General features: G+C 36.3%; 1 protein-coding gene across 9 annotated transcripts in view; it reads right to left on the reverse strand.

Moving 5' to 3' along the window:
- HLTF (helicase like transcription factor) overlaps positions 1–17,658 on the reverse strand; it is a 56,471-nt gene that overhangs the window by 20,873 nt on the left and 17,940 nt on the right. For 5 of the 9 annotated variants that reach the window (NM_001318935.2, NM_139048.3, NM_003071.4 and 2 more), the window contains exons 8-14: positions 17,305–17,400; positions 13,856–13,931; positions 12,496–12,589; positions 9,844–9,923; positions 9,708–9,752; positions 8,783–8,872; positions 4,368–4,465 (exon numbers count right to left, since the gene is read on the reverse strand). In NM_001318935.2, coding sequence (NP_001305864.1) covers positions 4,368–4,465; positions 8,783–8,872; positions 9,708–9,752; positions 9,844–9,923; positions 12,496–12,589; positions 13,856–13,931; positions 17,305–17,400 — 579 coding nt within the window. The remainder of the gene's footprint in view (positions 1–4,367; positions 4,466–8,782; positions 8,873–9,707; positions 9,753–9,843; positions 9,924–12,495; positions 12,590–13,855; positions 13,932–17,304; positions 17,401–17,658) is intronic. The other 4 variants (XM_017007079.3, NM_001318934.2, XM_017007078.2 and 1 more) reach the window with 1 other exon arrangement.

Here is a 17,658-nt window from a genome sequence, read left to right on the forward strand (position 1 = left end):
GAAAAAAACCAGACCTAGAAGATTTTCAGCAGAAAAAAATAGTCTGATTAAACTGAAAAGAGAAGATACCAGGGAGACACAGCTGGGAAGCTATGAGGAGAGAGATGATGAAGTCCTAAACCAGCAAGGTAGAAGTAGGAACAGGGTGGAAAGGACAGGTGTGAAAAACAGAAACTAAGACAAGACTGATAGGACTTGGGGACTAATGAAATATGAAATATGAATAATAATAATAAGACTAAGATGCTCTGATACTTGAATGACTACCTAGAATTGTGTGATAAAAATATAAGGAAGTTTAAAAAAAAAAAAAAAGAAGGGAAAAGTGGGCATCCAAGTAAGAAAGAGATGAATATTTTAGACCTTTATCATTTTTGGTCACTATAGAATACCTAACTGAAGACGTATACTAGGAAAATGTAAATAATTACCTATAGATAGAAGTGAGAGGTGTAGATATGAATTTTAAAGTTAACAACAGACAGTATTTACAGCTGTAAGAATGAATGAAATTTCCTAAAGAGAGCATGTACAGTGAGCAAACGTTAGGGACAGAGTCTACAGAATACCGGTATGTAAGGAGAAGACTTGTTTTTATTGGGAGAAAACACATGATGCCTGGGGTATAATTAAAAATATTCCAGGCCAGGTGCAGTAGCTCATGCCTGTAATCCCGGCACTTTGGGAGGCCAAGGCGGGTGGATCACTTGAGGTCAGGAGTTCGAGACCAGCCTAGCCAACATGGCGAAACCCTGCCTCTACTAAAAATACAAAAATTAGCTGGGCATGGTGGTGATGGTGATGCGCACCTATAATTCCAGCTACTCGGGAGGCTAAGGCATGAGAATCACTTGAACCCAGGAGACAGAGGTTGCAGTGAGCTGAGACTGTGCCACTGCACTCCAGCCTGGGTGATGGAATGAGATTCTTTCTTTAAAAAAGGCCGGGTGCAGTGGCTCACACCTGTTAATTCCAACACTGGGAGGCCGAGGTGGGCGGAACGAGGTCAGGAGTTCGAGACCAGCCTGATCAACATGGTGAAACCCCATCTCTACTAAAAAAACAAAAATTAGCCGGGCATGGTGGCATGTGCCTGTAATTCCACCTACTCAAGAGGCTGAGGCAGCAGGATCACTTGAACCTGGGAGGTGGAGGTTGCAGTGAGCTGAGATCGCGCCATTGCACTCCAGCCTGGGCGACAGAGCAAGACTGTAAAAAAAAAAAAAAAAAAAAAAATCAATCCAGCAAAGAAAAAAAGGAAAGCACATGTGTCAGACTTTTGGTAATTTTTGAATCTTGATGAGTAGATGGAGATCTCATTAAAATTTTTTAAAATACTCTTTTTAAAAAATTATATGTTGTATGGAAATACAGAAAAGACAGATTTAATAGGAACCAGAACAAAGACAGAGAAAAAGTTAGGACAACAAATATAAAGGGTAAAGGCCTGGGATCCAAAGAATATAAAAGTTTCAAGAAAAAAAACCAAGGTGGACTTTTAATTTGTCATCTATCTTCATTCCAGTTCTTTACAAGAAGGTTTAGAGATAGCTTACAAAATAAGACATAACAAATAATAAATGAATAACATATTCAAGGCAGAGGAAAAGGGGAGCTCATTGTACATGGCAATATTGAAGTCTGAAGATCTCTGCAAAGGGAGTTTCTGTAGTGAGTGGAAGCAAAAACCAGACTACCAAGGACTGAAGAAAGTATTAAACATGAAATAAAGGCAAAAATGCAGAGAGGATAAAACATGAAAAAGTAAAGCTGAAAATGCAAAGAATTTCTTATAGAAATTTGGTAAAGAAGAAAAGGAAATTAGAATCCAGCATGACAAAGAATCCAATATGAGAAAACTGAATCAATGGGTGGCCTTGAAATGGGACAGTGCATTATTTGTAAAGGGATTACACTTGGAACAGAAGAAAATCAGCTTTTCTGGAGAATAAAGGGAGAGAACTATAGTTACTCCATCTCTAGACAGTGTTAGGCTCTACTGTATATGTATGTATGTATCATCCTCTCAATAGAAAACGAAATAGGTGTTATTTCATGAGATTACTTGTCTAAATATCCAGAACAAATATGTGGTAGAAGTAGGATTGGTACCCAGGTTCTATTCCTTTACCTGGATTATTTGAAGACAAAAAAGGGAATATAAGTCAGTTCTAGCCTGCTCTGTAGAATGCTAGATCCTTTACTTGAGAGCCAGGAAGACGGTATCTTGTTCAGATTGTGAAATTTTAATTCTTGATCATTGAAATCGTTTGGATGTTCATCTCCTCCAAATCTCATGTTGAAATGTAATCTCCAGAGTTGGATGAGGGGCCTGGAGGTGGAAGGTGTATGGCTCATAGCGGTGGATCCCTCCTGAGTGGCTTAGTGCTATCCCCTTGGTGATGAGTGAGTTCTCACTCTAAGTCCACACGAGATCTGGTTGTTTCTAAGTTTGTAGCACCTCTCCACTCTCTCTCTTACTCCCACTCTGGCAATGTGATGCTGGGTCCCCATCACCTTCTGCCAAGAGTGTAAGCTTCCTGAGGCTGTGTAAGCTTCCTGTGGCCTCACCAGAAGCAGATGCCAGCACGATACTTCCTGTAAAGCCTGCAGTATCATGAGCCAATTAAAACTCTTAAATTATCCAGCCTCAGTTATTTCTTTATAGCAATGCAAGAATGGACTAACACAACCATGAATCCCTAAATGCCAAACCACCTCTCATTCCTTTAAATTCACAGAGTGTGCATGATCTCACTTGGCAAGATTTTGCCACACTTTCCTTTCTGAACTTTACATTACTTGAACTTTCCTAAATATAAAATTATAATTAAATACTGATTACCCATTTTAAAAATACATCTCTATACCCCAAGCCCTCAAATAATCAGTTAGATAGTTTATACCTCCATTAATACTCTAAACCTCATCCCAAAACTGCCATTCAAGTACCCATGTACTATCCTTCCCATAACAAACAACAAATTAAAGAAAGAACAGTTTCGTTGGAATAAAAAAATAGCAACAGACCATTAACATTCATTCTTCTGGTCCTAAGAGGAAAAATGATACACTTATCAGGACAAGGTGTAATTTAAAAAATAAATAAATAAACCAAAAACTTATATAAAAAAAGATAATTCATGTCACGGAAAAAAAGACTATAAAGCCAAGAAGAGGCCACTAAATTTGACAATTAAACTATCACAAGTAGTCTTTTCCAATGCAATTTAGAGAACTAATGGTACAAGCCAGATTACAATGAATTAAGGAATTAGTAAGTAAAAGCACAAAGTAGAAATTAACCTCCAAGAGTATGACAGTGAAGGAAAGCAGAAGAGTAGCAACTTTTAAAGATGCATATCAAGAGAATGTATTTTAAAATGAAAAAACCTGAGTATGTATCAGGAAGAGCCAGTGGGAAGAGACTAAATAAACAAGGGAAAAAAGAACAGATGAGCAATGTGGGAAAAGAGAGAATCCAATGTAGAGACTAAATACTGGTCTTAAAAAGAGTAGGATCTCTTCCTCCTCTGACATAAGAAGAATGGCGATGAGAGATAAACAGATAACTTGGAAGTGGCAAGAACGGTGAGTGGTCCTTATATTCACAGGGATTCCAAGAGAGTCATTATTTCATCATAACAAGAAGTTTGAAGCTCAAACTAGGAAGAAAACATATCCAGGCTGCAAATAAACAATTAATCAAGAGGTTCCATTCCAATGTCAATGTTTCAGAACAGAAAAGCAATCTGGAAAAAAAAAATTTCTGATGGGTAGTGTTAAAAGGACAGGCTCTAGATTCAAAATGTTGGAGACTATATACAAGATCCATCATTTATTAGCTGGATGACCTTAGGCAACTTAACCTCTCTGTGTTTCAATGTGGGCACCTGGAAAATCAGGGTAACAGTTATGAGAATTAAATGAGAAAAATCCTTAAAAGAGGTTAAGGACAAACCAAATAAACAGGAGTTCACTAACTGTTGTTATTGTTATAAAAATAAGTTATTGTTGGTATAGCTCTTAGAAAAGACAGTTCCAACAGTCAATCTGTAAATGTAGAGGAGTCAAACTATACATCTTTCCCACTTTGGGGGACAAAAATAGCAAAGGCAGAAATACAAACCAAATCTTATGTTAGCAATTGATTATGTTCCTTTACCTTCTTCTCTACTACACATCTTCAAAGAAAAATTTCTTCAATTCAGCAAACATAATCCAATTCACCTGATGATTATTTGAACTTAGATACGAACTGATGACCAAGTATATTTACCCCAATGAATGACTCTTTAACAGAATACTTTCTACCTTGTAGATAAAATATAAATTATGTTACATTTTTAAAGGGCTTAAAGACTTACAATCCAGTTGCTTAACACAGAAAGCGGACAGATGATCAGTGTTGTTCTTGGTCTCTCCTCAACATCAGTTTTCTTTGACCCCTCCACTGCACAAGCTCCTAAAAAAATGAACCACTGATAGAACCTTTAGCTGTTTTTCTGAAATATATATGTCAATAAGGAGATGGCAATAATGTGCCTCCATGAAAAGATAAATTAGGAACAATTAAAATGAAGCAGATGGACTTTTAACAGGGAATAAATTTTACCTCATCACTTAAAAAAACTAAAAATCCACATAGTGATTATGAGAAGAACCAAAGGACTATGACAGAGAGTAGGTCACAAGGAGGAAGTCTCTAATATTTTCTGATAGTCATAGTCATTCATTAAGACGAACATTTGTTTTATGCAGTTTTCTGAATTTGTGTTATATTTAATTTGGTAGCCAGCCAAGATGGCCCTCAATGATCTCTACTTCCTGATATTCACAATCTTGTGTAATCTCCTCCCATACTCCACCAGGACTGGTCTGTGTGACCAACAGAATATAGCAGAGAAGATAGTATGTCACTTCTGAGATAGATTACAAAAGAAGTTTCCGTATTGGGTGTGCAAGCTCACTCTCATACTCATTCTCTCTCTCCAATCTTTCACTCTGGTGGAGCCAGCTGCCACGATGTGAGGCCACTCAGGCAACTTATGGAAGGATGCACATAGTGAGGATCTGAAGACTACAGTTAGCCAGCAAGTAATGAGGTCTGCTGACAACTATGTGAGTGAACTTGGAAATGGATCCTCCCTAAGTCCAATGTTCAGATGACGGCGGCCCCTGAAGAAGAGTTTGACTGCAACCTCGTAAGAGACCATAAGCCATTAAACCATCCAGCTAAGCCACTCCGACTTCCAGCCCTGTCAAAGTGTGTGAGATAATAAATGTCTGATTTTAAATGGCTAAGTTTTAGGATAATTTGTTACACAGTAATAGGTAACTAATATATTACAACAAAAATTCTTAATACTTTTCTGTGGAGCATGTTTAAAAATAGTGATAATAAAGTGTTTTTACAAATTCTTGAAATAAATTCTAGAGATGGTATCCCTTACCAATGGAGTATCTTCCAGTAAACTTAAAATGCAAATTTCTGAGTTTTTAAAAAATTGTATTTTCACACTAATTTCAAAATTAAACTGGAAGGTGAGCAAAGTATCATACTGTATCTACGTATCATTCACAACTTGCTTTTTTCTCTCAGTGCTATCTACAGTAGTCCCTCCTTATCCACTGGGGGTATGTTCCAAGACCCTCAATAGATACTTAAAACCATAAATAGTACCAAACCCTATATATAATGTTTTTTCCCTATATATACCTACAATAAAGTTTAATTTATAAAGTAGGTGCAGTAAGAGATTCGTAACAACAAAGAATAAAACAGAACAATTATAACAATATACAGTTGACCCTTAAACAATATGTTTGAACTATGTGATGCACTTACATGCAAATTTTTGTTAACCAAACGTGGATTAAAAATACAGAATGGGCCGGGCGCGGTGGCTCACGCCTGTAATCCCAGCACTTTGGGAGGCCGAGGCGGGCGGATCACGAGGTCAGGAGCTCGAGACCATCCTGGCTAACACGGTGAAACCCCGTCTCTACTAAAAATACAAAAAATTAGCCGGGGGAGGTGGCGGGCGCCTGTAGTCCCAGCTACTCGGGAGGCTGAGGCAGGAGAATGGCGTGAACCCCAGGGGGCGGAGCCTGCAGTGAGCCGAGATTGCGCCACTGCACTCCAGCCTGGGCGACAGCGAGACTCCGTCTCAAAAAAAAAAAAAAAAAAAAAAAAAAAAATACAGAATGGGCCAGGCATGGTGGCTCATGCCTGTAATCCCAGCACTTTGGAAGACTGAGGCGGGTGGATCATGAGGTCAGGAGATCAAGACCATCTTGGCTAACATGGTGAAACCCGTCTCTATTAAAAATACAAAAAATTAGCCGGGCATGGTGGCAGGCGCCTGTAGTCTCAGCTACTTGGGAGGCTGAGACAGGAGAATTGCTTGAACCCATGAGGTGGAGGTTGCAGTGCGCCGTGATCGCACCACTGCACTCTAGCCTGGGCGACAGAGTGAGACTCCGTCTCAAAACAAACAAACAAACAAACAAAAAAACAGTATCTGCTGATTGCAAAACTCATGTATATGGAAGGCCAACTTTTCATATATACTCGTCCTGCAGGGCAGACTGTGGGACTTGAGTATGCGCACATTTTGGTATACACAGGGGGCCCTGGAACCAAATCCCTGACAAATACTGAGGGATGACTGTACTGTAATAAAACTTATGTGAATGTGGTCATTCTCTGTCTCTCAAAATACCTTATTGTATATAATATTTTAGAACTGAAACTGTAGAACGTGAAACTGCAGATAAAGAACAACTGTGTTTGGGATTTACACTTATTAGTATTTGTAGCTCTAGTGTATTCATTTTAACCAATTCATAGCATCATACTGCAAAGTAGATTACAATTTATTTACCATTCCCCTACTGGACAACATGTACATTATTTCTAATATTCCATTAAAATAATGCTGCAATGAAAACCATTTTTTCATGTCTCCTTATTTATATTTACAGAGTTACAGATGGTCTATATTCAGCTTCATTATATTTTTGTCCAGTTGCTCTCCTTGGTAATTGGCGCTCCCATCAACAATGCACGAATTCCTATTGCTGCACAACTTTGTCAATACTTGGCATTGTGAGATTTTTTAATGTCTGAAAATATGAAGGGTAAGAGCATCCCCCTATTCCTTTATTTTATGTTTTTGAGACATGGTCTCGCTCTGTCACCCAGGCTGGAATGCAGTGGCGCTATTATGGCTCACTGCAGCCTTGACCTCCCAGGCTCAAGTAGCTGGGACTACAGGCATGTGCTACCATGCCTGGCTAATTTTGTGTATTTTTTTGTAGAAACAGGATTTTGCCATGTTGCCCACCCCTGATCTTGAACTCATGGGCCTCGGCCTCCCAAAGTGCTGCAATTTCAGGCATGTGCCACCATGCCTGCTGCCACTATTCCTTTAATTTGCATCTCCCCAATAATTCTGAATCAGCATATTTTTTCCAGTGTTAACTGGTTATTTGGGTTTTCTTTCTATGGACTCCATATGTACATCCTTTGACTATTCTCCTATTGGGTGGTCTTTTTCCAATTGTTTGGAAAGTTCTTACATAGTCTAGAATTGAACCTTTTGTCAGTTACACTTAATACACATTATCTTCTTCAGTTTTATCATTTTTTACTTTGTTTATGGCACCTTTTGATGCATGGAAATTTAAAATGTAGTGGCATTTAATCAATCTTTTCCTTATGACCTTTTGTGTCTTACTAAAGAGATCACTATCTACCACAAGGACAATCAGGATTATGGCTTCTGTCTCCATTCACAGAGTTTTGTTTCTATTCTGCTTCTCTTTCAAAGATATACTTAGTTTGGTTAAAACCAAAATGACACACAGCTGTGACTTTGAAAATGTTCTCTCTTGTATCACAGCTATGCATCTGCAACTGAAAGTGGTTTCTAATGTGTAATTTAATTCTATCTCAACCGAAATTTCCACATTTCTTTAAATTTCTAAAATTAGGGTAAAGAATAATCCACCCAACATGCCTATATTTTCTATTCCTAATTATCTGATTCTTGGACCAAAAGTCGGCTCTTTCTCATGAGTCTATGTTAGCTTCATAAACAAGCCCCTTCAGGTCAATCTTTACTTCATTATCCTCCTTTTTCTTCACATTACTTCTCATTATTTAAAATTATATTGACTTGCTTATTGTATATTTCTCTCATCATTACATCATATGCTATATGAAAACAGATAGCCTGCTATATCCCCAACATGTAAAATAATGGAGACCAAGGGGCAGAGATATAATTTGTCTCAGATCTTCTCAACCTTAGTTCAATCTCTTCCCATCTCAAATATTTAGTCTCTTAAGCAGTGTTGTTTTCCTATGAATTACAAAATATAAAATCATAACAAAGATCACTAACATTTTAAAATGAAAAGCAAATTCTAATACCAAAAAATTAAACCTTTAACTTAAATTAACCAAAATTAAATTAAGCTTTAAAGCAGCCACAAATTGCTTTGTGCCATCACTAGAAGAAATATCTCTGCTATTCAGAGGAGTAAGGGCCCCCATCACATTTTGGCCCTAACTAAAACAAATACAGTAGGAAAATGCACCAAAAGGAAAACAAATTATGAGGTAGCTTTGTTCTTTTAATGGGTTATATACTTTAAAAAATAGTCTCTATTTTCTAAACTTCTTGTAATATGGTTTTATAACTTAAAATTTTAAATTTTTTCATTCAAAAACAGAAAAAAAACCAAAAACTAGAAAACAAGGATATTTACTGACCCTTTTTCAACATTTTCTTTTTTGTTGTAGGAACAGATGAAGTTAATGCACATGCAAATGCCACATCTTCTATAACCTTAGAAGATCCTGCTGATAAAACAACAAAGAATCTTAAATTTTTTTCAAATTATCTCCTGTGCTAGAGTACAGGTACTTTCTAAGGGTAAGAAATAGAATATCATTTTCACCCTCTATTGTAAGAGCTTATATTATTAAGTTAAAATATTTGGTAACCAAAATTACTACCTCTGACACTAAGGATATCTTTTCAACTCAGAGAAACGATGTAGTCATTCATGGTAAGACTTGAGGAGAAGAAATGAAAGTAGGAGCAGTCATATGCAAAGTAATTCGGCTCTCAGGTGGAAGGAGAATTTTTCAAGGAAACAAACAGTTTGATTCCTAATGATAAGGCTGCCAAATTTTCAGATCAGTCAAGATGATCAGTTATTTTCCAAATGCAATACAATTTCTCAACGAATGAGAAATATAGTATGATGTGAATTACAGGAAAATAAAACATATTTTAAAGAAAAAGAAAAAATTTGATTATTTTCACATCTGTATAATAATGTAAACAATAATAGTATTGCCAGGAAGACATTCTCAACCTAATTTTGTAATTACTATTCATACTACACACATAGGTTTTATTGAAGTCATTTTATAGGTAGTAGAAAATTGTTTTAAGTATAGTTTAAATATTATTATCCCTTAGATTTTAATTTGCAACTATTTATTCACTTTTCCTCCTTTACAAAATTAATTTAAAACCCATGGTTAGCTCCATGAAGAGTTCAAATGTAAACATCAGCCAAGTTTAAGAGCTATTACTAAAACATTCCAACCTAGCGAGATACAAATCAATGGAGCTGTACTTTAATAATCTTGAAGTCTAGATTATGGGTATATAGTATACACATACCTTTCGCCCTGCCTTTAGTTTCAGACTGTACATTTTTCAGTTTGCCTAAAAATAAAACAAAAATAAACATAAAAATGGGCAAAACAGGACATTAGAATATAGGACACATTATCAAATCAAATCTATTACATGTTACCTTTCATTTTCTGCGGCAATTCACTTGTTTCAATTTCCTCTGAATCACTGCTTTCTATGTACTGGACAGCAGTTTTTCTTCTAAAATTAAGTATACACAAAGAAATTTTTGGACCAACCCAAAGCAAAATAAGATATACAAACATGTTTAATAAATGCAATAAAAAACTTTTGTCCTACTCATTTATTTTTTGAAAAATTTTTTAAAGATTTTGACAAATGAAAGTCAGATCTGCTAAAAGCATTCTGCTTTCATAACCAGATAGATGCATTAACTATACAAAATGGAGTACCACCGTTATTGTTTTTTGAGACAGGGTCTCACTCTTTTGCCCAGGATGGAGTACAGTGACACAATCAGAAGTCACTGCAACCTCATACTCCTGGGCTCAAGTGATCATCCCGCCTTAGCCTCGGGAGTACCTAGGACTACAGGTGCGTGCCACTACACCCAGCGAATTTCACTATTATTAAAATAAATTTGATAGCCGGGCGTGGTGGTGGGTGCCTGTAGTCCCAGCTACTCGGGAGGCTGAGGCAGGAGAATGACGTGAAGCCAGGAGACGGAGTTTCCAGTGAGCGGAGATTGCGCCACTGCACACCAGCCCGCCTGACAGAGCGACACTCCATCTCAAAAAAATAAAATAAAATAAAATAAAATAAAATAAATTTGAAAAACTAAGTCATTCTAAAAAATTAAAAATTTCAATACCAGGTTTAATATTTGGTAGTTCAATTAAAGCATATAAAACTGGAACAAAAAAGAATTGGCTCGTGGCCAGGCACGGTGGCTCATGTCTGCAATCCCAGCACTTTGGGAGGCGGAGGTGGGCAGATCACCTGAGGTCAGGAGTTTGAGACCAGACTGGCTAACATGGTGAAACCCCGTTTCTACTAAAAATACAAAAACTAGCCAGGTGTGGTGGTGCGTGCCTGTAGTTCTAGCTGCTCAGGAGGCTGAGGCAGGAGAATTGCTTGAACCCGGGAGGCAGAGGTTGCAGTGAGCCGAGATCATGCCATTGCACTCCAGCCTGGGCGACAGGAGCAAAACTCTGTCTCAAAAAAAAAAAAAAAGAAAAGAAAAGAAAAAAGAATTGGCTCTTATCAAAGAAAATACTTCTAACACAATGAAATAAGCAGCCAAAAGGCAAAAATGTAATTCTTTCACAATAGGAAATTTCATAAATTTTGTGTAGAAAGTTTAACAGTGATTAAGTGCCTAAGAGCAATAAATTCTGAAGTCAGACTGCCTAGCTTTAAATCCTCATTCCACCAGTAATTTGTTATGTGATTTTAAGTAAATTACCTAATATTCTTCAATGCCTGTTTCCTCATAAGAAAAATAGAAATAAAAATATAATCCTCATAGAATAAAATGTTACTACATGCAAAAGCCCCTAAAAGAGTGCCTGTTACACAATAACATAACTATTAGCTATAACATGTGTGTCAGCTGTTGTTAAGTTTTTCTCATGTCCTCACCATTATTATTTCTATGTCCTTTAATCTGATCTTGTCCAATTAACAGTGTTGTGTTACCCAGGTTTATGATAAGTTCAAAGTTGTAACATTTGTCATTTATCTAAATCTGAAGCAATTAGATTTAGATAACACTGATGAGTGCTGGCTTTGTGCTTAGTTCAGACAGCTATTAATGACAGAACAATTAACATAGCCAGTTTCAAAACCTTTGTTGATGAAATAGCTAGCAGAGACAAATTTGCGATGACTTGTGTAGATACTGATGGTAGACAATACAACAAAAGCCCAATTTTTAGACCTACTTCAGAAGATAAATGAAGTTTGTAAAGTTAACAGATTCAAGACAAGATCAGAGGGGAATTACATCTTTTATTCAAATTCTCCCTCTAGTCTATGTTAATATAATACTGTCCACAAATAACTTTATCATGTCTTATTTCCACTACATGTGAAGAACTGAAACGATCAAGAATGCTTTTGTCAAGTTATCTAATAAAATATTCTTCAGTTTTCATCCCCTTAAATCCATAAAGAAAACTTCTAAAATCTCAAAAAAAAGCAAAAATCCCAAGATCTAGATCTTAGTTCCTTGACAAAATAGAAAAAAAGTAGTAGAAAGATGAGTGATTATTAAAATTTACCAATTCATTTCTTTTATAGGTCAGTATCATTCTTCTTCATCTGTAAAATGAGAATACTCTATCTGCCTAAGTCATAGTGATCTTGGTAGTTTCAAATAAAAGAATGTATTTGAAAGAACTACTTAACAAATATAAGGGTCATGGTCATCTCTATCTCTCTCTTTTTCTTTTTTTTTTGAGACGGAGTCTCACTCTGTCACCCAGGCTGCAGTGCAGTGGTGCGATCTTAACTCACTGCAAGCTCTGCCTCCCGGGTTCACGCCATTCTCCTGCCTCAGCCTCCTGGGTAACTGGGACTACAGGCGCCCACGACCACGCCTGGCTAATTTTTGTCTATTTTTAGTAGAGACGGGGTTTCACTGTGTTAGCCAGGATGGTCTCAATCTCCTGACCTCATGATCCGCCCGCCTCGGCCTCCCAAAGTGCTGGGATTACAGGTGTGAGCCACCGTGCCCAGCCTCTATCTCTTTTACACATAAGAAAACAGAGTCTAAATAAACATATGACATAATCAAACCATAATAGTTTACCTTTTGGGGCGGGAGCTAGACAATTCTGACATGCGAAACTTACTCTTCTCCTTGATATCTGAAATACTGGGTTGTTCACTACATCTAGATGCGTCTATTTCAAAGAAAAATGCAAATATAAAGTATTAGTAAGGTGTCTTAGAAACTAGTATTATCCCTCTTAAAACCTTGGTTTTCTAATTACTGATTTTCAGTTTTCTTAAGATCTTCATTCCTTTCATTACTCTATTTTCTCTACTTTTTTCCTAATCTAGTATTTCCTCATTTCTAATTAGAAAGTACCTTCAAATTTTTATGACCCAGTCTTTTCTTTGTACTCATCCAGCCCATCCCCACACTAGCTGAATGTCTTGCTGTACCAAGGCAGCTAAGAGCTATTGGAAAAAAAAATCAACAGAACCACAAATAGGTGCTGTTATAAATTTACATGTTCAAATCTCAGATGTCACCTTGTGTCACTTGGTAACTCTTTTTACTAAACACTGTTCGGCTCCCCTACCCATTTATCAGAATGATCCATACCAGAATGATCCATACTACATTGACCCCTTTGCCTAGATTATAACTCCTTTTATTCCAAGATGACCTATTTCACTTTACAAAGAAAATGAGAAGGTATCTTCCATAAAAATCTCAATTTTCCTATCTTTTAATCCACTCATTTATCTATACTTTCCTTCAACCTTACTTCTTTCCTTCTACTGCTAACTCATCTACCTAACTCATCTAGGTAGATGAGTTAGACCACAGAACAAAATCAAAAACAAAAAAAACCTCATCTTACCCTAACTCGCCACCTTTCTATTTCTTTCCTGTTCCAAACTTAAGTAATAGCACCAATTGTTATTTACAATTTTTCACCTACTACTCTTAAAATATTTTCAGTCTGCTCTAATCTATCTTTAGAAATAAGCTTTATGAGGGTCATTTAAGTAAAATCCACAGATCTCTTTCCATTTCTCCTATGACTTCAGAATTTGGCTCTAAAGCTAGCTTTCTAGCATTATCTGCTGTTATCCATGCATATTACATTTTAAATACAACAAAATTCACTGAGGTCCCAGAATAAAACATGCTCTTTTTAAAGTACCCTTTCATGAGATTTTTTTTCACAACCCAAAATGCTCTTCCCCAGTTCTCTAAATGTTATACTACCCAATTCAATCATCTCCTTCATGAAACCTTTCCTATCAGTACTCAGGGAAGACCTTTTAAAAAAGAGATCCTAAATTTTTGTACAGTACAAAGCCAAAACTAGAATTACAATATTAGGCTGAAAAAACGCAAATCAAATATTGGGTCATATTCAAATTAAAGTTTACCAGATCAAATATTGGATCATTTCAAAATTAGCATTTACCTTTGCTTAGTCCATCTGCCTTTTCACTGGTATTGTTTCCTCCAAGTTTCATAGAGTCATCGTTAACATTATATTCCTGGGTAAATAGGCATATTTCTTAAACAGTACTGCTATCAGTTTTAAATAACTTTAAATGCATCCTGTTTTATATTGCTTTACTTTGCATAATAAAAACGACTTAAATTGCTACCCAATTCTGGAGCAACTGAAGGGGAGGGTGAATAAGTGAAGAGGAAAATATACAAACTGATTTAAAATTTTTTCACGGGTTATCTCAAAAAAAAAAAAATAAATAAAACTACTTGGCCTTCACCTTTTCGAAAGGAATACCGAAAGCAAATCTCAATTATAAATGACACATTATTGTGAGAAAAATTCAAGAACTGGGATTTACTTTATAATTAAGAATTCTCAGACTTCAAACTTTTCAAACCAATGTTCCATGTTCAGATCTTTAATGAGGCTGCCATTGTCATCCTCTCTTTCTCTAGAATTTGCAGGGCAAATAACTCTAATATATAATAGTACAGGTCCCAGAGTGTCCTCTCTTCTTACTCCATGGGGTATTTTCCTGCTAGCCCATTTTCTTTTCTTTTCCAATGTACCTTTGTTTCCAAAGGCACCAATGTACATGAATTGAAAACAATTTTATAAAATTTGAATTGTAAGCACTTAAAAAATCCCCCCTTAGAGTTAAGTCTTACTAAAAATGTGGTTGAAAAGGTTCATCCTCTTTAAAGGTACCAATCAAAAAAAACTAAAAATCTGCCGGGCGCAGTGGCTCATGCCAGCACTTTGGGAGACCGAGGCGGGCGGATCACCTAAGATCAGGAGCTCGAGACTAGCCTGGCCAACACAGCAAAACCCTGTCTCTACTAAATAGACACAGATTAGCCAGGCATGGTGGCGGGCACCTGTAATCCCAGCTACTTGGGAGGCTGAGGCAGGAGAATTGCTTGAACTGAGGAGGTGGAGGTTGTAGTGAGCCAAGGTTGCGCCACTGCACTCCCTCTGTCTCAAAAAATAAAATTAAATTAATTTAAAATCCCAAATACAATATTTTTAGAGATACGTAACTAGAAGAGTTACTTTAGACAGTTAATGTCTAAGCATTAGCTCCAAGAAAGAGATGGTAAAAATGCTTTTCATCAAACATCCTATCAAGTCTACAATAATTACTATAACCATTTATATTAAACAGTATGCAAAAAAACTAAATGTTTATTCAAACATAAAGGATGTCCTTTGCATTCATCTTCTTTTTTTTTTTTCTGAGACAGAGTTTCACTCTTGTTGCCCAGGCTGGAGTGCAACGGCACAATCTCGGCTCATTGAAACCTCTACCTCCTGAGTTCAAGTGATTCTCCTGCCTCAGCCTCCCAAGTAACTGAGATTACAGGTATGCGCCACCACACCCAGCTAATTTTGTATTTTCAGTAGAGACAGGGCTTCATCATGTTGGTCAGACTGGTCTTGAACTCCTAACCTCAGGTGATCTGCCCGCCTCAGCCTCCCAAAGTGCTGGGATTACAGGAATGAGTCACTATGCCCAGCTTTGCATTATTCTTTATATTAAAATATTTTGCTCAGCAAACTTTTTCTCTATAAAGTTCAAAGATAAACTTTTTATCAAGTCCAAGCTGGATGAAATAATAGTATGTTAGAATCTAGGGGAATTTAAATCAATATTTCAGTCTACTTATGTTTGGAATATCTAAACATACTTGAAAGAGTGACAATTTTTTTTTTTTTTTTAATAAATCCCTGGCTGGAAATCACATCTTCAGCTGCCATTTCAATTAATGTAGCAACCCAAATATTCTAAAACCTTTCTACTATAAAACACACTTTAAATATATAACTTATCTTGGGGAAAAATAAGAGAAATCCTTATTGTTAATTGATAATTTCTCAATTAATAATTGAGACTAAAGCAGTAAGTAGTCTTATGTGCTTCTATCAAATCTGGTAACCTAAAACTTCAGTTTCAATAACCAAATGTAGGAAGAACAAGACATAAAACATTAGGTTGCTCAGGGTGAGGAATTGAACCTGAGACTTCAACAGGTTTAACTCTCAATAAAAGTAGAAAGTAGGAAGTAAAACTAAGTGCAGACATTAATAAAATAAAATCTCAATAGCACTGACAGGAAACTGATGTACTGCCTTCTCTGAAAACTAAAAACTAGGAAGAATGGTAATTCAGAAGAGTTCAGAAAAGAAGTATATTGCATACATCTTTTTGCTATTTCCTTCTATTTAAGTTACTTGAATTTTCAGGTAAGAAAAGAAGTAACTGTTCCTCTCTAGTAACATTTATTTTTCTCACTAAACTAATTTTTAATTCTTAGAAACCAAATATAAATGTATGTTTATATTATATACATATATATATGTATATATATACACACACACACACAAATTTTCAAGAAAAGTCACCCTTATTCTCATCACTAGGACATAAGTTATTATTAACATTTTGGTACAGATAGTGTAGTGAATGGACTTAAAACACACATGAATATATTATTTACAAAGTGAGGAACCAAACTCCACACAAAGATTTGTACCTGTCATTTTTTAACTAAAAAGAATCATGAAAGTGATTATTCATCAAAAATAATACTTAATGGTTACATAATAGTAAGTTTTATGGCTATATCGTTTAACTGTTCCCTTGTCAAAAGATGTTTCAAATTGTCCACCTTTATTTTATTTTTATTTGTTTTAGAGACAGGGTCTCACAGTGTCACTGAAGGTGGAGTGCAATAGTGCAATCATAGCTGACCATAGGCTCAAACTCCTGGGCTCCAGCAATCCTCCTGCTTCAGCCTCCCAAGTAGGTGGAACTACAGGTGCCAGTCACTATGCCCAGCCTTTAAAACAATGTTGAGGGAAAAAAAAATAATAATAATAAAAAAAAACCTGTATTTTCTTTGGAAAAAATGAATTTCTGGTAACTCCTTTCAGATAGTTTCTTAGAAATGGCATTATTGACTGGCAAAATTGTTCAAAGATTATAAACAATTTTAAGACTCCTGATACAAATTATCAATTGTTCTCAAGAATGTGATACCTGCTGGTGGCTCACACCTATAGCCCCAGCACTTTGGGAGGCTGAGGCAGGTAGATGGCTTGAGCTCATGAGTTCGAGACCAGCCTGGACAACATGGCGAAATCCCACGACTTGAGCCTGGGAAGCAGAGGTTACAGTGAGCTGAGATTGCGCCACTGCACTCCAGCCTGGGCAACAGAGCCACACCTTGTCTGAAAACGTAAAAAGAATGTGACACGAACTTTCATTCTTATCAGCAACACATAAAAGACAGAGAGACCATTCATCGCATTTCTGAAAACACAATTTCTTGGTAGTTTTTTTTAATGATGAAATTTAAAGATTTCACAATAAACTGGAGGTTTCACATAAAGCGCACTTACTACTACTTTACCTTCTTCAGTAGATTCTTTTTAACTCTTTCAATAGGAAGAGGTCTGCCATCATGGAAGTTGGTAAGGATTACTGCAATGGCCGTAAGAGTTTTACCCTTAAAAATGTTTTAAAAAGATAAATGGTCAGATTGTGAAACCCAGTTCACCAGAAAAACGTTCCCATTTTAAAATCAAGTAATCGAATATCAAATATCATTCAAGGTCACAAAAGTGTACTGTATATTAATGAAAAATGAGTATTTCATTTAGTTAGAAAATGCTTTCCCCCACTGCATTATTAGGGAATTATTAAATGATTTACACTATAAAATACTACAAGTATCTCTGAGAAGTGTCATTTTATTGAATGACTG

The sequence above is a fragment of the Homo sapiens genome, chromosome 3 (genome assembly GCF_000001405.40).
Source record: "Homo sapiens chromosome 3, GRCh38.p14 Primary Assembly".
NCBI classification, from domain to species: domain Eukaryota; kingdom Metazoa; phylum Chordata; class Mammalia; order Primates; family Hominidae; genus Homo; species Homo sapiens.